General features: G+C 44.4%; 1 protein-coding gene, 2 non-coding genes and 1 pseudogene across 18 annotated transcripts in view, besides 3 other annotated features; 1 reads left to right on the forward strand and 3 right to left on the reverse strand.

Annotated features, from left to right (window-relative positions):
* The window catches only part of LIN9 (lin-9 DREAM MuvB core complex component), a 78,619-nt gene extending 72,280 nt beyond the window's left edge, over nt 1-6,339 (reverse strand). For 10 of the 16 annotated variants that reach the window (NM_001366240.1, NM_001366238.1, XM_047418553.1 and 7 more), the window contains exon 1: nt 5,681-6,075. Coding sequence is in view for 9 of the 16 variants with exons in the window: in NM_001366238.1 (NP_001353167.1) it covers nt 5,681-5,759 (79 nt within the window). In the remaining 7 variants the exon portion in view is untranslated. Of the gene's footprint in view, nt 1-5,022; nt 6,076-6,197 lie in introns of those variants that run through there. The other 6 variants (XM_017001084.2, XM_047418546.1, XM_024446565.2 and 3 more) reach the window with 3 other exon arrangements.
* Nucleotides 834-935, forward strand: LOC124904831 (small nucleolar RNA U13). Its single transcript, XR_007067427.1, has one exon. It is a non-coding gene; the product is annotated as a small nucleolar RNA U13 (small nucleolar RNA).
* Nucleotides 4,869-5,635: an enhancer, noted in NCBI's record as "NANOG-H3K27ac-H3K4me1 hESC enhancer chr1:226495998-226496764 (GRCh37/hg19 assembly coordinates)". NCBI's record gives its function as "activates a minimal SCP1, AML or CMV promoter by ChIP-STARR-seq in naive H9 embryonic stem cells {active_cell/tissue: H9 hESC(naive)}" and the evidence as "EXISTENCE:reporter gene assay evidence [ECO:0000049][PMID:30033119]".
* Nucleotides 5,189-5,418: a silencer, noted in NCBI's record as "silent region_1881". NCBI's record gives its function as "represses an Ori minimal core promoter by ATAC-STARR-seq in GM12878 lymphoblastoid cells {active_cell/tissue: GM12878}" and the evidence as "EXISTENCE:reporter gene assay evidence [ECO:0000049][PMID:35858748]".
* Nucleotides 5,839-6,088: a silencer, noted in NCBI's record as "silent region_1882". NCBI's record gives its function as "represses an Ori minimal core promoter by ATAC-STARR-seq in GM12878 lymphoblastoid cells {active_cell/tissue: GM12878}" and the evidence as "EXISTENCE:reporter gene assay evidence [ECO:0000049][PMID:35858748]".
* A 6,293-nt stretch (nt 6,340-12,632) lies between the features above and the next one.
* LOC124904814 (small nucleolar RNA U13) lies at nt 12,633-12,736 on the reverse strand. The gene has a single exon (XR_007067410.1). It is a non-coding gene; the product is annotated as a small nucleolar RNA U13 (small nucleolar RNA).
* On the reverse strand, nt 14,586-15,275 carry YBX1P9 (Y-box binding protein 1 pseudogene 9; annotated as a pseudogene).

Genomic DNA, 19,342 nt, shown 5'->3' on the forward strand with positions numbered 1-19,342 from the left:
TATTTGTATATAAGGTGTTCATGATGAGCTTCTATGAAAGGTGATGCTTAAGCAGAGATCTGAAGGAAGAGGTATATAGGCCATAAGAATATCCACTCCTGCTCCACGAAGGCAGGAACCATATCTTGGGGATTCTGACCAATCACCTTTAACCTTTTTTTTCTTTTTCGTTTTCTTTTTTCTTTTTCTTTTTTTGAAATGGAGTCTCACTCTGTCACCCAGGTTGGAGTGCGGTGGCGCAATCTCAGCTCACTGCAACCTCCACCTCCCGGGTTCAAGAAATTCTCCCCACCTCAGCCTTCCAGGTAGCTAGGATTACAGGTGCATGCCACCATACGCAGCTAATTTTTGTATTTTTAGTAGAGACAGGGTTTCGCCATGTTGGCCAGGCTGGTCTCGAACTCCTGACCTCAGGTGACCACCCGGCTCGGCCTCCCAAAGTGCTGGGATTATAGGCGTGAGCCACCGCAACCGGTCCTTCTTTCCTTTTTCTAGATGCAGGATAGCATAGTGGTTAAGAAAACAGGTTCTAGATTGAGACTAGCTATGTTTGAATCTTGGTCCTGACACTTTCTTGCATGCTACCTTAAGCAAGTTACTTTGCCTCTCTGTGCTATTGTTTCTTCATGTGTAAAATGAGGATTAAATGAGTTAATACATGTAAAAGTGCATAGAACAATGCATATATTACACAGTTAATTTTGATATAATGCTGTTAGTATTATTTTGAGCAATCAAAAAATAATAGGTTAAGAACATGGATTTTTCAGTCAGGCGAATCTGATTAAATTAGAATCTTGCTCTAACGAGGTGTTCATTAATCCAAAGATTCTACCCTTCTTAGTTCATAAGCATGATGATTGGGTTTTCATACTCATGTGTGAGATGTGTCTCTCTCAAACTTTGTGAAAAGTCAGCACATGACCCATCTGATGTGGAAAAAAAAATTTTATTGAATGCCTACCATAAGCACTGTTAGGGGCGAGGGTTACCCCAAAGAACAAGACAAACAAAGCCTCTCCTCACAGGAAGCTTAAACTCTAGTGGAAAGAGACATATATATATAAAACACGTACATAATAATTATAGCTCATGATAAAGGAAATAAACAGGGTGATATTGGTGGGGACGGGGGAATTACTCTAAGTACTAGCTACCTTACTTTTGAGTACAGACGGTTTCTCTGAGGAGGTAACATCTAAAAAACTAGCTGTGAGAGAGCAGGAAATCAAAGCAATGAGTCTGGGCAGAAGAAACAGGTTAAGTCCTAAGAAGGGAGGAGGGGTGACTGTGCTTGCATAGGGAAGAATGGTATGAAAGGGCAGAGGTAAGCCAGGTGTTATGCATGGAACTGGGAATGCAATTAAGACAGTACCTGCTCTGATGGGGCTACTAACCAATCACATAAACAAATACAAAACTGCAACTGTAATAGCTGCCACTAGGAAGTTACATAGTAATACAAAAAGATTTAAAGAATATGGGCCTGGCCTGGCACAGTGGCTCACACCTGTAATCCCAGCACTTTGGGGGGCTAAATGACTTGAGGGCAGGAGTTCGAGACCAGCCAGGTTCTACTAAAAATACAAAAGTTAGCCGGGCTTGGTGGCACACATCTGTAATCACAGCTACTCAGGAGGCTAAGGCAGGAGAATTGCTTGAACTCTAGAGGCGGAGGTTGCAGTGAGCAAAGACTGCACCGCTGCACTCCAGCCTGGGTGACAGAGCAAGACTCCATCTTTAAAAAAAAATAAAGATAGGCCCTGCATGGTGGCTGAAGCCTGTAATCTCAGCACTTTGGAAGGCTAAGGCAGGAGCATCGCTTGAGGCCAGGAGTTTGAGACCAGCCTGAGCAACATAGGGAGACCTCGTCTCTACAAAAAAAAGAAAAAAAAAAAAAAAAAAAAAAAAAACCTTAGTTGGGCATGGTGGTACATGCCTGCGGTCCCAGCTACTGGGGAGACTGATGCCGGAGGATCTCCTTAGCCCAGAAGATCAAGGCTGCAGTGAGCCACGATCATGCCTCTGCACTCCAGTCTACACAACAGAGGGAGACCCTGTCTCTTTAAAAAACAAAAAACAGATTTAAAGAAGACATAATTTAGTCAGGGAGGATGGGAAATGGCTCTCTGAAGAAGCATAAAATGGGATCTAAAAGACAATTAGAAGTTAACTGAAAGTAAGGGGGGTGTGGGGGGGTAGCATTCCAGGTTGAGAGAACAGCATGTGCAAAGACCCTGGAGAAAAGGGGAGACTGGCGAGTATCGGGAATGAAAAAGGTCCAATTTACCCCAAGGGATAGAATGAGGGGACAAGTGGTAAAACATAAAGCTGAGAGGTAGGGAGCAGCCAGACCACAAAGGGTCTTATAGCTACTAAAGGGTTTGTAACAGGAGGATGACATACATTCGTTTTGAAAGGATCCCTCTCGCTGTGTGTTTGTGGGAAGGGGGCTGAATTAATGAGAGGCTGAGGTAATTGGTAAAGAGAAGAAATGGTAACAGTTTGGGCTATGCTGATGGTAAGAAATGGGTAGAATTGATAGATATTTAGAAGGTAAAATTTACAGACTTAGTAAAGGCTTAAATATGGGAAGTGAAAGGGAGGAAAGTGGCTGGGGGCGCGGTGGCTCACCCCTGTAATCCCAGCACTTTGGGAGGTTGAGGCGGGTGCATCACCTGAGGTCAGGAGTTTGAGACCAGCCTAGCCAACATGGTGAAACCCCGCCTCTACTAAAAATACAAGAATTAGCCAGGTGTGGTGGCGGGCGCCTGTAAACCCAGCTACTCAGGAGGCCGAGGCAGGAGAATGGCTTGAACCCGGGAGGCGGAGGCTGCAGTGAGCTGAGATCGCACACTGCACTCCAGCCTAGGTGACACAGCAAGACTCTGTCTCAAAAAAAAAACAAAAGAAAAGAAAGAGAGGGAAGTGCCAAAGAAAATCTCTAGGTTTCTGCCCTGCCAGCTGAATGCACAGTGGAACCATTCGAATCACTAGAAGTATCTGTCCTGGGGTAGGACTGAGGTGGATTTTAAACCTGTGCAGTTTGAGGGGCCTTTGAAGCATCTAAGAAGAAATGTGAAACAGGCAAGAGATATCAAGAAAGGGAGCTCAGGAAAGATCTGGGCTGAAGATAGCCTTAATTTCCTTATATAAAATGTGAGCACTTACATCAACTGAAATGAAGATTAAATGAGCAAATACATGTAATATCCTTTGCATGGCATCTGGTTCATAGTAAATACTCAATAAATGGTAGCTTTCATTATTGATAATGTTATATCGACTCCTGAACAATATATTAGCTAGCCTCCTTGACTAAATGTGGCCAAAAAACATACTGCTATTTCCAGTATCAAATTGAAATCGCTTTTCCTTTTCAAGACCCTGCTCTAGTTTCAGTAATAATACCTGTTACTTTGCACTAATTCCATAAAAATTATTTATGTATACTTGATTTGTGGCACTGTATGACAAAGAAAGAAAGAAAATCCCTGGTTTCAACAAAGCTGAAGTCTACCTAAACAAGACATACGCTTCACAAATACACACCAATGCACCAGAGATGTCACAAAGTAATATAAATGATTAGGTTATATAATTTGAAAGTGGAGCTGGAATTTGAACCCTAATATAAATCCCAAGTCCCTACAAAGAACCACAGTAAATTCTCAATAAATGCTGGATGATATGAAGCAAATATTCCTAATGGCAGTTGTAAGAAAGCCACTTAAAATGCCTCTCATTACAACAGAATGACTACAGTAACCAAAACAGTAGCTCTAGTGATTGTGACATCCAAGAGGTGATAAGACATGTTTATGATAAAGATACCAAGGATGATGAAAAACATTTTCGGATGACAAGTACACTGTGCTTAGTAGGTCCACACTCATTTGGGAGCATTCTAAGTCACAATCAAGACCAGCTGCGGTGGCTCACGCCTGTAATCCCAGCACTTTGGGAGGCCGAGGCGGGTGGATCACCTGAGGTCGGGAGTTCGAGACCAGCCTGACCAACATGGAGAAACCCCCATCTCTACTAAAAATACAAAAAAATTAGGCAGGCGTGGTGGCACATGCCTGTAACCCCAGCTATTCGGGAGGCTGAGGTAGGAGAATCGCTTGAACCTGGGAGGCAGAGGTTGCAATGAGCCGAGATAGTACCATTGCACCCCAGCCTGGGCAATGAGTGAAACTCCATCTCAAAATAAATAAATAAATAAAATAAATCACAATCAATTGTATTCTACAAATAAACAGTACAGCTCATGACTGGTCAATAGCTGTGCCCTACCCAATACAGTGACTACTAGCTACATGTGACTATGCAAGTTAAAATTAAATAAAATTCAAAATTCAGTTCCTCCATCACTCTAGCCACATTTGAAATGTTCCATGGCTACATATGGCTAGTAGCTTGGCTGCCCTACTGGACATCACAAAAGAGAACAGTTCTATCATGGACAAAGTTCCTTGGGGACTTAGTGCTGCTCTCTATCAAATTTAAAACACAAACACTTTTAATACGACTTTTCACCAGCTTGGCAACTTGAATTTTTAACTTTATAACTTACTAAGAACACATGACCTCACAAAGAAAATGGAATCGGTAGTATGTTGAGTCCTCATTTTTAAGTCCATTTGCCTTGTGCATAGATAAGATTCAATAGTAATTGAGCCTTTCACAAATATGTATAAACTGAATAGTGAAAGTGGATTCAGGACTTTTTTTTGTAATTAAATAACATATTTGTCTTTTCATATAATTTATGCAATATTGTAAATTACAAAATTAAGTTCCATTGCCCTTAAACTATGGAATTGGTGCTTTTACTTACTCAACACAAGTGAGCATACATGTCTTAGATGTCAGGGTGAGTAAACATGGTTAGGGGAGGCAATGCCCTAGGGTGGGTGTCAGGCAGGGTACACGTACGCTGTGTTGGTCACATCCATGCATAAAGGTACCTTTATGGCTCTTAAGACACATATAGAATAAAGTCTGCGGGACGGGGTCTACCTGAACACTGAGTATCCGGGCTGGATGATCTCAGGAAAGGTCCACAGCCACCTGTGGTCCCAGGGGAAGGGGCCAACCCTCTGACACGGAAACACTTCCAGGGGTGGACACACCGGTGGGGGGGTGGGGAGGACAGTGAAGATCACAAGTGCCCGTAGAGGCAGGAGCTGTGACAGGACAAGATCAGAGGCTGGGGCAAGAAGAAGGGGCCGTGGACCACCCCGTGCCCAGCCCGAGCCCTCCCCCGGCCCCGGGACAGGCGAGTTACATAACCCCGGCGGGCGTCTCTCGGCGCCGGGCGAGTGGTGCAGGCGGCGAGGACAGCCCCCGCGCCCAGGGGCCGCTCTTCCCTCCACCTCGGCTGGGGGCCGGAGTGGCGCCAGGGGAGCAGCCACCGCCTCCGCCTGGCACAGGCTGGACTCCCGGGCTCTCGGTTTCCGGCCCTGGCGCTCACACAACCCCAGAAACCAACACACAGACACCATAACAAAGGCGGCGACGCGGCGGCAACACCGGAGTGGGAGGACTAGGGGACCACAGTGGGGCTGGCAGTCAGCCCACCTGCCCAGCGGAGGGCACGGCCGTCCGTCCCGGCCGGTGCAACCGCTGGGCAAGCAGCAGGCGGGAAAAGGGGGGGGTGCTTTGAGGTGCTACTCACTCTCGTCAGGCAACTGGTCGAGCTCCGCCATCTTGAACGAGCCGCGCCGCTTTTTCAAAGGCTGCCCGCCGCGGTGCATTGTGGGGCGGAGACTGTCTTTGCGAGGGAGGTTCGAATGCGGAGCTCGCTGCCCGCGGCGCCGCGCTGCGCTGCTCCCGCCGCGGCTGGCTGAGGCGGGCCCGGCTCCGCCCGCGCCTGCCCGGGGAGGAGGTGCCGCCGAAGGGGGGCCGCGCCTCGCCCCTCCGCCGCCGCCTCCGGCCGAGCCGGGCGGGAGGAAGGGAGGAAGGAGGCCGCACGGCGAGGCCCGGCGCCGGAGCGCGGGGGGAGCAGTACCAGCTCCGGAGTCCCGCCCGGGCCCCGCTCCCGGCGCATGTTCCGCGGCCCGCGCTGCAGCTGCGGGAACTGCAGGCTGTTTGTTCCGAGTGGAGAACGGGAGGGAGGCCCCGGCGGGGGGAAAGAAGCCCTCGGTTCTGGGTCGCATTGCCCGAGGGGGCTCTACGCAAAGTGAAATACTCACAGTTCCCGAAACCCACGTTGCTTGGGCGCCTCCGTCCCCTCACTTTTCCCGAGACCGCCGGCCGCAGCAGCCCCCTGCGCGTCGCGACGTCCGGGACTCGGTCCCAGCGGCCCCTCGCGATCCGGGCACGCCTTTCCCGAATGTTGGAAGCTGAGCTGCGTGCAGCCGGGGAGCGAGACCTTGAGAGGTCATGAAGTTGGTCATTTAGGCCGACAGCTAAAGAACTGTTCTGCTCAGCTGTTTCATCCATTCGACACTAGATCGTGCAGTGGGCTGGAAGAGAATTAGAAAACGAGTAACAGGAGGCTTCGAGAGGATACAGAAAGGAACAGTGACACTACAAGGTGATAAAGTACCTGATCCAAATGTTATGAGAATACTGGACGAGAATTGAACGAAATTGAAAGAAGCCCAAGGAAAAATTTCACAATATCTGTCTGTAACACTTTCCAGTAATAAAACACTGTTGCTTTTCAAAAATTCATTTAACGAATGTCATTGAGCTCCAATCCTTTTCTCCAGGAATTTATGGGGGTTGGAGGAATGAGACCGTTAAGCAGTCAAAAGACAACGTGGGTGAATTCCAGGAACTACAAAGTTAAAAGGCGGTAGACTAAGGTGACAGAGTGGTACACAGAGGCCCGCCCAGGCTAAGGAGTTGAACTTGCTTAGTCCACTGGAGCAGTGGAAAAGTCGGGTGTAAGAGGGGCACGTTTCTATTTGTGTTTTAGAACAAAAATATGGGAAATGGATTGGTGGGGGACAAGATGAGAGCCTAGAAACCAGTCAGGAAGAAGCTTATTTGGGGCATGCAAAGGACAGAAGAGAGATGCCTGCACTGGTAGCTAGAGAGGTGCAGCGGGTGGGCTCTGGAGCCCCAGGGCCTCGATGGGAAGAATCCAGATGGGCTGCTAGTTGTATAATCTCAGGCACGTTGGTTTCTTAACCGAATTCTCTGTGCCTCAGTTTCTTATCTGTAAAATGCAAATAACAGGGTTATTTTGAGGGCTAAACGATTTGATAGATGTAAGGACCTTATACTAGCTGCTAGCACCCATCAGCTAGCCACTATTACCACCATTACCACAGCATAGGCAGTATTAGAGAGAGGTGGCAGCATGCACTCCACCTTTCAAGACGTGGAAAATAAAGGATTGGGTGAGTCACTGGGTGTGAGGAGAAGGAAGTCTCATTGCTGATGCCAGCTCTGTGCCTTGGGTAACTGGGTGCTGCCATGCTAAGGTAGGAGGGAGAGCAGGGAGTGAGCAGGGAGGGTGAAAGTTCAATTTTACAAAGTAATCCTTCCTTCAGAGCTAGCTTAACCTCTCCTTTGCCTTCTAAACACACTCTGATCTGCTCCCTAAGAAGATTAAAACACTGGTCCTTGTTGTCAGCACCTAGGGGGTGCTTCAGCAGCTTGCACTTCAGTATCAATTTGGAGATGAGATCAAGAAAAGGTCAGCCCTTTAAGAATGGAAGAATAGAAATTAAAAAAACATGAGAGGTTACCAGAGTGGGAGAAGCAAAAGCTTTGTGAATGTCATGATAGTCAAGGTGTCATTAGACCAAGGCAAACCTGGTTTTATTCTGAGGCAGTTTTCATGTACACGCAACAACACAACTACTGTTTAAATCAATGTTTTTAGGCCCTTGCCTGATAATCTGCATTTTAAACAAAAACTTTGACTCTTCTCATAAATCCAAAGCCTGAAGCTGTATCCTAGCCCCAGATCTAGCGCTTAGCTGTGTGATCGAAGCCAAGGCACACCTAACTCTTCAATAAGTTTCGTTATTGAATATTTATGACAGGTTTTACAATGATTGGCTTACTTGATTCTCCCAACAACCTGGTAATTTGTCCAAAGACAATGGCAAGCAAGTGCTAGAATCAGGAATCTAGCCCACTTTTCGGTGCCTCAGTGACTCCCTCTGTGATGGGAGGATTACACGTATGTCTTTGTCCATTTGTGCTGCTATAACAAAACATCTGAGACTGGGTAATTTATAGACAACAAGAATTTTTTTTTTTTTTTTTGAGATGGAGTTTTGCTCTTGTCACCCACGCTGGAGTACAATGGTGTGATCTCGGCTCACTGCAACCTCTGCCTCCTGGGTTCAAGCGATTCTCCTGCCTCTGCCTCCAGAGTAGCTGGGATTACAGGTGCCTGCCACCACTCCTGGCTAATTTTTGTGTTCTTAGTAGAGACAGGGTTTCACCAGTTTGGCCAGGCTGGTCTTGAACTCCTGATCTCAAGTGATCTACCTGCCTCAGCCTCCCAAAGTGCTGGGATTACAGGCATGAGCCACCGTGCCCAGCCGACAACAAGAATTTATTTCTCACAGTTTCAAACGCTGGGAAGTCCAAGATCAAGGTGCCAATGTTGGTGTCTGGTGAGGGCAGCTCTCTGTTTCCAAGATGGTGGCTCGTTGCTCCATCCTCTGGAGGGGATGCATGCTGTGTCCTCACATGGTAGAAGGGACAGAAAGGCAAGAGAACACCTCCTTCAGTCTTGAGCCCTTTCATAAGGGTGCTAACCCCATTCACGAGAGCAGAACCCTCATGACTTAATCACCTCCCAGAGGCCACACCACTTAATACTGTTGCATTGGGGATTATGTTACAACTGAATTTTGGAGGGAATACCATCATTCAAACCATAGCAACATGCAACACAGGGGTATTAAGTTTCCTGCAATCACTTATTCCAATTTAAAATGACATGACTGTGTGTGGTGTTTGCTTTTTAAAAAAAACAAACCACGGTGTGGATAAGGTCATTAAGTCATGAAAAACCTAAATAAAAATACACCATAAGAAACATCTCATGTACCATCATAAATATATCCACCTACTATGTACCCACAAAAATTCTAAAAAATTTTAAAAATACCATAAGAAAAATAAACATGGCCACGTTTTAGAAATACCAGGTTTGACCATTTCTAGTCCTGTGGCCTATTTATCAATTATTGGGTTGGATTATTTTTGTGAAAACAGTTGCAATGACTAAAGATAAAATGTGTGTGTTGGGGGCCTGGTGCAGTGGCTCACACCTGTAATCCCAGCACTTTGGGAGGCTGAGGCAGGTGGATCGCCTGAGCACCTGAGATCAGGGGTTTGAGACCAGCCTGACCAACATGGTGAAACCCAGTCTCTACTAAAAATACAAAACTAGCCAGGCGTGGTGGCTTGTGCCTGTAATTCAAGCTACTTGGAAGGCTGAGGCAGGAGAATTGCTTGAACCTAGGAGGTGAAGACTGCAGTGAGCTGAGATCACACCACTGCACTCCAGCCTGGGTGACAGGGTGAGACTCCGTCTCAAAAAAAAAAAAAAAAAAAAAAAAAGCGTGTGTGTGTATAGTATGTGTGTGAATGTTTTTATAAATACTTTTGATAAAGTTGGGAATTTGAGTTAGTAATGAAAAAACAAAGACAATTCAGTTTGCCTTGCTTGAGTATCTCAGCCATAATGAGGTAAAAAGGCTCTCCAGCCTATAAATATATATATTTTTAAGTTATGTTGCTGGTAGGACTCCACACTCAGCATTTCCTCTTCCAGCATCCAAGTACACCAGGAGTACTGATGGCCCCAGGATCTAGGTTCAAATTGCAGTTCACCTACTTCCCTTGTGTGTATTCTTGAACAAATTACTCTCAGTAGTAGTTTTTAGTTTTCTTCTCCCTTTCTTGAAGGGTTATCATGAAGATTAAATTACATATTGTAAATTAAGTGCCTACCAAGATCTCCAGTGACTGTTGGTATCCTTCCTTGATGAGAATCCCTCTTTTACAACATAAATATTCTCAAAAATGTGCCCAGTGGCCATCCTGGTAATTCCCTTCAGAATCATCTCCCTGAACATGTTCAGAGCAGTGGAAACAGGCGTGAGGAGTGAGAGCAGAAGACATGGGTTCTAAGCCTTGCTTTACCTCTAGTGAGCACCATGATCTCGGACAAGTCATTGAACCTTTCTGCCTTCGTCTTTCCCATTTGGGGAGTGAATATAACTACACTGCCCTACCTAGATCACAATGTGAGGATGCATGTCCATAAAATTGAGATAATAAAAGATAAAATTCTCTACATGTGCTAGATATTATGTATAACATCCAAGTTTAGTGGAGTTTAGTATGTTACACTACTCTAATGAAAACTATAACAAAGCTTTTTAAAAAATCATATACAATACAAATGTGAAACTCATAATGAACCAAAGACCTAAATGTAAAAGCTAAACCATAAAAATTCCTAAAAGAAAACATAGGTGTAAATCTTCATGACCTTAGATTAAGCAACAGTTTCTCAGCTATGACACAAAAGCACAATCAACCAAAGAAAGTATAAATTGGACCTCATCAAAATTAAAAATTTGTGTGTTTCAAAGGGCACTATCAAGAAAGTGAAAAGACAACCCTTAGAATGGGAGAAAATATTTGCAAATCTTATATCTGATAAAGCACTTGTATCCAAAACATTTAAACACATTTAAAACTCTTATAACTTGGTAATAAAAAGACAACCCAATTCAAAAATGTGTGAAGGATCTGAATAGACATTTCTCCACAGTAGATAAGTCAATAAGCACACAAAAGACTGTTCAAGATCATTATCATTGGGGAGCTACAAATCAAAACCACAATGAGATACCAATTCACACCCACTGGGATAGCTATGATAAAAAAGACAGATAATAACAAGTGTTGGCAAGGATGTGAAGAAATCAGAACACTGTGTACTGCTATTGGGAATGTAAAATGGTGCAGCTGCTATGGAAAACAATATGGTGGTTCTTCAAAGATTTATACATAAAAGTACTATGCTATATGATCCAGCAATTCTACTCTGAATATAAATACCCAAAATAATGAAAAGCAAGGACTCAAACAAATATTTGTACACCCATGTTCTTAGCAGTATTACTTCACAATAGCCAAGAGTTGGACGCAACCTAAGTATTTATTGATGGATGAATGGAAAAAGAAAATGTGGTACATAAATACAATAGAAAATTATTTAGTCTAGAAAAGGAAGAAAATTCTGTCATATATGAGGGGTCTTAAGAAAGTTCATGGAAAATGCATATTATGAAAAAACTGGTCATGCATGGTGGCTCGTGTCTGTAACCCCAGCACTTTGGGAGGCCAAGGCAAGCAGATCACCTGAGGTCGGGAGTTCGAGACCAGACTGGCCAAAATGGCAAAACCCTGTCTCTACTGAAAATACAAAAATTAGCCGGGTGTGGTGGTGGGCACCTGTAATCCCAGCTATTCGGGAGGCTGAGGCAGGAAAATTGCTTGAACCCGGGTGGTGGAGGTTGCAGTGAGCCGAGATCGCACCACTGCACTCCAGCCTGGGCAACAGAGTGAGATTCCGTCTCAAAAAAATGGAAAAAAGAAAAAAAGTATGCATGGATTTCAAAATTTTTTTGCACCAAAATAAACTTGTACTTACTTGTTATAACATGCCTGAATGGGATCTAGTCTGAAACACTAAGAAGGATAAGACATCAGTTTGAACAGAGTACCTTTCAGAGCAACATAAATTCTGCCAAAATTGAAGCAAGAACAAACATCAATGGTGAAGCTTGATGGTGGACAAATGGAAGCTTTACGGTGAAGCTTGGGTGAAAGAATGATGAAATTATTGATGCTCTTAAAGCAAACTAAATATAGCCTGAGAAGAAAGTCCATACTTCTGTATTTGAGTCCTTGTGGACTAACTGTAACCTAGTGTAATAGGCAGACAAGATTAAAAACTTAACTTAGGAGTATGTGCCTATAACTAAATTGCTGAGTCTTGGCCAATCCCAGCAGCCATACTTCAAGCACTCTTAGACTGCTGAGTGTTCAAACTGTGTTCAAATAAGGCAAATGTTAACCTGTAACCAATCCAGCTGTTTCTGTACCTCACTTCTGATTTCTGTACATCACTTTACTTTTTTTGCCTATAAATTTGTTCTGACCATGAGGCACCCCTGGAGTCTCTCTGAATCTGCTGTAATTCTAGGGGCTGCCCAATTTGGGAATTGTCCATTGCTCAATTAAACTCCTTTAATTAGGCTGAAGTTTTTCTTTTAACAATGCTTTGCAAAAAGTTTATGAGGATGATGCACCAAAGAATTCAGCAGTTTACAAATAGATAACTCATTTTAAGAGAGGACAAGACGATATTGAAGATGAAACCTGAAGCAACAGAGCATCCACTTCAATTTTCAAGGAAAAAGTTAACCTTATTTGTACCCTAATTGAAGAAGACTGATTATTAACAGCAGAAACAATACCCAACACCATAGATATCTCAATTGGCTCACTTTACACAATTCTAATAGAAAAATTAAAGGTGAGCAAACTTTTCATTTGATGGATGCCAAAACAGTTGCATTCAGATCAGCTGCAGACAAGAGCAGAGAGCACAGCATTTTTTTTTCCTTCCATGTCAGACAGGTAATATGCCGATGTTGTAACAAGGTTCAAGGGTGGGACATCTCACACATGAGCATGAACACACAATCATCGTGCTCAGGAGCTACAAAAGGATTGAGCAGAGCTTTCAATGGAAATTTTAAACGAGTGGGGTCAGGATCCTGAAGCACTTCCTTGAAGAATTATAACAGGAGATGAGACGTGGCTTTACCAGTATGATCCTGAAGACAAAGCACAATCTAAACAATGGCAACCAAGAGGTGGAAGTGGTCCAGTCACAGCAAAAGTGGACCAGTCAAGAGCAAAGGTCATGGCAATAGCTTTTTGGGATGCTTGAGGTATTTTACTTGTTAACTGTCCGGAGGGCCAAAGAATGATAACATCTGCTTATTACAGGAGTGTTTTGAGAAAGTTAGTCAAAGCTTTAGCAGAAAATCCCTAAGAAATCTTCACTAGGGAGTCTTTCTCTGCCACACCAATGTTACTGTTCATTCCTCTCATCAAAATGGGTGCAAGCAAGAGTTTCAACAGGCTGGACACAGTGGCTCATGCCTGTAATCCAGCACTTTGGGAGGCCAAGGCAGGTGAATTGCTTGAGCCCAGGAATTAGAGACCAGCGTGGGCAACATGGTGAAACCCCGTCTCTACAAAAAATACAAAAATTAGCCAGGCGTGGTTGCGCATGCCTGTAGTCCCAGCTGCTCGGAAGGCTGAGGTGGGAGAATTGCTTGGGCCCAGGAGGTAGAGGTTGTGGTGAGCCGTGATTGTGTCACTCCACTCCAGTCTGGGCTACAGAGTGAGGCCCTGCCTCAAAAAACAAACAAACAAACAAATAAATAAATAGAGTTTCAAAAGGAAATCATTAGGCATCCACCTTACAGTCCTGATTTGCCTCCTTCTGCCTTCATTTCCTAATCTTTAAAAAAAACCATTAAACTACACCTATTTTTCTTCAGTTAGTATCGTAAAAGAGACTGCACTGACATGGTTACGTTCCCAGGACCCTCAGTTCTTTAGGGATGGACTAAATGGCTGGTATCATTGCTTACAAAAGAAAGTGTCCCGAACTTGGTGAAGTCTATGTTGAGAAATAAAGTTTATATTTTTTATTTTAACTTTTTTGACAATTATTTAAGATCTTTATTGACAAGTGCTTGCAGTTCATTGACTATTTTGAAAAAACACCAAGTTGTAAACTTTTATTACAAATTTAAAATGAAGTTCTTAAGTCTCAACTTGACCAGATATGAAACAATTTAAAAATCTTTAGAGGCATATTGAGAAAAGCCAGACTTTTTTTTTTTTTAAGAAAACCACATTTGTTATCACCAAAAAGAGTTGTCTTTAGGAAAAAAGTGATTTTAAAAACCCATGCTGCACAGATAATGCAGATAGTTCTAATAATTGGTCAGCAGCAAAGAGCAAACAATGTCTTCAGTGCCAATCTTTTGTTCATTTCTTATTGCTGCAGTTTCACATTCATTTCTTCTTGTTGTACGACTAAAGGGGATGATGGTAGAGATGGTAAGCTGGTATTTACTCAGCCCTACCCTGCTCAGCCTTGGCCATGGGCAAATTTTCTTTTTTTTTTCTTTTTTTTTTTTTTTTTTGAGACGGAGTTTCGCTCTGTCGCCCAGGCTGGAGTGCAGTGGCGCGATCTCGACTCACTGCAAGCTCCGCCTCCCGGGTTCACGCCATTCTCCTGCCTCAGCCTCCTGTGTAGCTGGGACTACAGGCACGCGCCACCATGCCCGGCTAATTTTTGTATTTTTAGTAGAGACGGGGTTTCACCGTGTTAGCCAGGATGGTCTCGATCTCCTGACCTCGTGATCCGCCCGTCTCGGCCTCCCAAAGTGCTGGGATTACAGGCGTGAGCCACCGCGCCCGGCCGGCCATGGGCAAATTTTCAGCTGCTTTTGTCTCTTTGCCATATTTTCGGGGTCTCCACCTGGGCACCGACCTTGCTGCTGACCTGGGGTCTCATCTCCTTGATTTCTTTTTATCCTCTTCATCACCATCCTCTCTAGGCTGTCTTTGGCTAAGAGGGCCCCAGTGGAATCATGGCCTATAGCCACATACATATCTTGCCTCACTGGTCTACCTGGTGCTCCTGCACCCTGGCTGTCAGCATCCTCCATCTCCGCTCCCTGCGCTGGAGGGCTGGAACACTGTGGTCCACGCCCATAGGGTCTCTTCAGGTAGTAGGGCAGGAACCTTCTCCAGGAACCTTCTCCTGAGGAAGGGCCAGTCTTGTTGGGCCTGGCCTTTGGGAGCACTCTCCTATCCTTCCTTCTTTTCCCCACGCTCACTATTCTGGTAATTCCGCTGGTAATTGTGTGGAGGACCCCCAGGACGTGGATTGCTTCCATAATGGTTACGGCCTGCTCCACGTTTACTGCCTTGCAGTGGAATTCCACCAGGGCTGTGACATCTGCTGCTTCCACACCCTTTTCTCCTTCAGCGTCAGACTCCACAGTCTCTCCAGTTCCTACACAGCCAAGGTACTTCCTGGGGTTCTTTTTTAATGGCAGATCTGTTTCTTACATTGAATCATTTTCCTTTTCCCGAAAATCTTCGCCATGACCTTCTTGTCCCTACCCACAGAACCATGGATGTGAGGCCGCCGAGGCCACTACTCCCTGGGCAGCCAAGGCTGGTGGTAGAGGTGTGGCTACTTTCAGGGCTTTCTGGGGTATCTCAGCTCCTGATCAAACTTTATTTTTTTATTTTTATTTTTTGAGACAGGGTCTCACTCTGTTGCTTAAGCTGAAGTGCAGTGGTACAATCATAGCTTACTGCAGCCTCAACCTCCCTGGCTCAAGGAATCCTCCCACTTCAGCCTCCCAAGTAGCTGGGAATACAGATACGCACCACCACACCCAGCTAATTTTTTATTTTTTGAGACAAAGTCCTGCTGTGACGCCCAGGTTGGAGAGCAATGGCACAATTTTGGTTCACTGCAACCTCCACTTACCAGGTTCAAGCGATTCTCCTGCCTCAGCCTCCTGAGTAGCTGGAATTACAGGCACGTGCCACCACACCCAGCTAATTTTTGTATTTTTAGTAGACACGGGGTTTCACCGTGTTGGCCAGGCTGGAATCAAACTCCTAAGCTCAAGTGATCCTCCTACCTTGGCCTCCCAAAGTGCTGCGATTACAGGTGTAAGTCACTGCACCCAGTCTTAAAAAAAAATCATTTAATTCAATTTTTCCACTAACTTCTTGAAGTCCGCTCGTACTACAGCATAGATCAATCTTGAAGACTTTATGCTTAGCCGAATAAGCCAGCGAAATAACACATAAGGAGAAATACTGTAGGATTCCACTTATGTGAGGAACCTGGAGTTCTCGAATTCATAGAGAAAAAGCAGAATGGTGCTTGCCAGGGGTTGAAGGGGAGAGGAGTGAGGAGTTATTGTTTAATGGGTACAGAGTTTCAGTTTTGGATGATAAAAAAGTTCTGGAGGTGGATGGTGGTGATGGTTTCACAACAATGTGAATGTACTTAGTGTACTTAGTGCCACTGAACTGTACGCTTTAAAATGGCTAAAATGGTAAATATTATATTATGTGCATTTTACCACAAGAAAAAAATTCATATTACACAAACATTACAGGTATGATTCCAATTACTAAATATATTTGCATAGATTAAGCTCAGAACAAAAGATATCCAATGTTTATGGTGGTTATCTCTGAGTGATAGGGTTATGGGTGCTTTTAATTTTCTCTGAATCTGTATTTATAATAGAGAAATTATAAGTAGTAAATTATATAAAATTATGAGCAGTAAAATGTTTTTTATTACTTTTGCCAGTACTGCAAGTCCAAAATATTTTGTATTATCTTTTTTTTTTTTTTGAGACAGAGTTTCTCTCTTGTCACCCAGGCTGTATTGCAATGGAACAATCTTGGCTCACTGCAACCTCTGCCTACCAGATTCAAGGTTCAAGCAATTTCACTTCAGCCTCCCGAGTAGCTGGGATTATAGGCACCTGCCACCACACTGGCTAATTTTTATATTTTTGGTAGACATAGGATTTCGCCATGTTGGACAGGCTGGTCTCCAACTCCTGACCTCAGGTGATCCGCTCACCTTGGCCTCCCAAAGTGCTGGTATTACAGGCGTGAGCCACCGTGCCTGGTCTTGTATTACTTTTATAATAAAAGCAGGCATTGAAAAATGTGGTAAAAGAGGGAAACAACAGACACTTGAGGGTGGAGAGTGGGAGGAGGGAGCGGATCAGAAAAAATAACTGTTGGCTATTAGGCTTAGTAACTGGGTGATGAAATAATCTGTACAACAAACCCCCATGACATGAGTTTACCTATATAACAACCTGCACATGTACCCCGAACCTAAAATAAAAGTTAAACAAAAGGAAAAAAGTGGTATACCATACAATGAAATATTATTCAGCCATAAAAAGGAATGAAGTACCGGTAAATGTTACAACATGAATGAACCTTGAAAACATCATATGCTAAGTGAAAGAAGACAGTCATAGAAGATCACATATTGTATGATTCCACTCATGTGAAATGTGCAGAATAGGTAAATCCATGGAGATAAAGGACAGATTAGTGATTGCTTAGGGCTGATGGGAATAGGGGCAGGGGTGGGGGATGGGGATTGACTACTAATGAGTACAGGGTTTCTTTCTCTCTTCTTCTCTCTTTCTTTTTTAGAGACAAGGTCTTGCTTGCTGTTGCCCAAGCTGAAGTATAGTGGCCTTATCATAGCTCACTGCAGCCTAGAACTCTTGGGGCTCGAGAAATCCTCCTGCCTCAGCCTCTGGAGTGGCTGGGACTAGTGTGTGCCACCATGCCTGGCTAAATTTTTTTTTTGTAGAGACAGGGATCTCATCATGTTGCTTACGCTGGTCTTAAATTCCTGGCGAGAGGTGAAGCCAGCGCGCCTTCTGGATGGGGTGGGCACTTGGAGAACCTTTCTATCTAGCTAGAGGATTGTAAATACACCAATCAGCACTCTGTGTCTAGCTAGAGGATTGTAAATGCACCAATCAACGTTCCATAAAAATTGACCAATCAGCACTCTGTAAAATGGACCAATCAGCACTCTGTGAAATAGACCAATCAACGGGACATGGGAGGGGCCAAATAAGGGAATAAAAGCTGGCCACCGGAGTCAGAAGTGGTAACGTGTTCTGCCTTGTTATTTTGCACTTCAGATTGATTCTTGCTGTTGCTTACTGTTTGGGTCTGCGCTACTTTTAAGAGCTGTAACCCTCGCTACAGAGGTCTGTGGGTTCGTTCTTGAAGTCAGCAAGACCACGAACCCACTGGAAGGAAGACACTGTGGATATATCTGAAGGAACAAACTCTGGACACACCGTTTTTGTGACTTCTTAACACTCAACACCAACGTCCGCAGCTTCATTCTTGAAGTCAGTGAGACCAAGAACCCACCGGAAAGAACCGACTCCGGACCCACTGGCCTCAAGGGATCCTTCTGCCTCAGTCTCCCAAAGTGCTGGAGCCGCCGTGTTCAGTCCACTGTACAGGGTTTCATTTTGGGGTGATGAAAATGTCTTGTAATTGGCCGGGTGTGGTGGCTCACGCCTGTGATCCCAGCACTCTGGGAGGCTGAGGAGGGTAGATCACTTGGGGAGAGGAGTTCAAGACCGGCCTGACCAATACGGTGAAACCCTGTCTGTTTTAAAAATACAAAAATTAACTGGGTGTGGTGGTGGGCAGTGGTAATGCAGATACTCGGGAGGCTGAGGCTGGAGAATCACTTGAACCTGGGAGGCAGAGGCTCAGTGAGTTGAGATCGTGCCACTGCATTCCAGCCCGGGTGACAGCAAGAATCCGTCTCAAAAAAAAGTCCTGAAATCAACCCTGGTGGTTGCACAACTCTGTGCATACAGTAGTCCCCACTTCTCCAGAGTTTCTCTTGCCGTGGTTTCATTTACCCATAAACAACTGAGGTCCGAAAAGAGATGAGTACAGTATAAGATATTTAGAGACACAGTTACAATATACAGTAACTTGTATTACAGTATACATTTGTTACAGTATATTGCTGTGATTGCTCTGTTTTATTATTATTTTTGAGACAAGGTCTGTCATCCAGGCTGGAGTGCAGGGGTGCAATGATGGCTCACTATAGCCTGGACCTCCCCAGGCTCGGGTGATTTTGCTACCTCAGCCTCCATAGTAGCTGGGACCACTGGCATGCATCACCACACCCAGCAATTTTTGTATATTTTATAGAGATGGGGTTTTGCCATGTTGCCCAGGCTGGTCTTGAACTCCTGGGCTCAAGCAGTCTGCTTGCCCTGGCCTCCCAAAGTGCTGGGGTTACATGCGTGAGCCGCTGTGCCCAGCCTGTTCTATTTTATTATTAGTTATTGTTGTTAATCTCTTACTTTGCTAATTTACAAATTAAACTTTATCGTAGGTATGTATGTATAGAGAAAACAGTATATATAGGATTCAGTACTATCGTCAGTTTCAGGCATCCAATGGGGGTCCTGGAATGTATCCCCCAGGGTTAAGTGTGAACTAGTATATACTAAAAACTATAGAATTGTGTATTTTAAATAGGTGAATTGTGGTCTGTGAAGTATAACTCAATAAATGTGTTACAAGGAAAATCTTGTTTTCAGACTAGGTTTTATCCCAATCTTAAAATCTTTGGTAGTCGTTTTGTGCTAGACCCCTTCCTAGGCACTTAATGAAGATGTGAAGTCAAAGA

This window comes from Homo sapiens, chromosome 1, assembly GCF_000001405.40.
Source record: "Homo sapiens chromosome 1, GRCh38.p14 Primary Assembly".
NCBI lineage: Eukaryota > Metazoa > Chordata > Mammalia > Primates > Hominidae > Homo > Homo sapiens.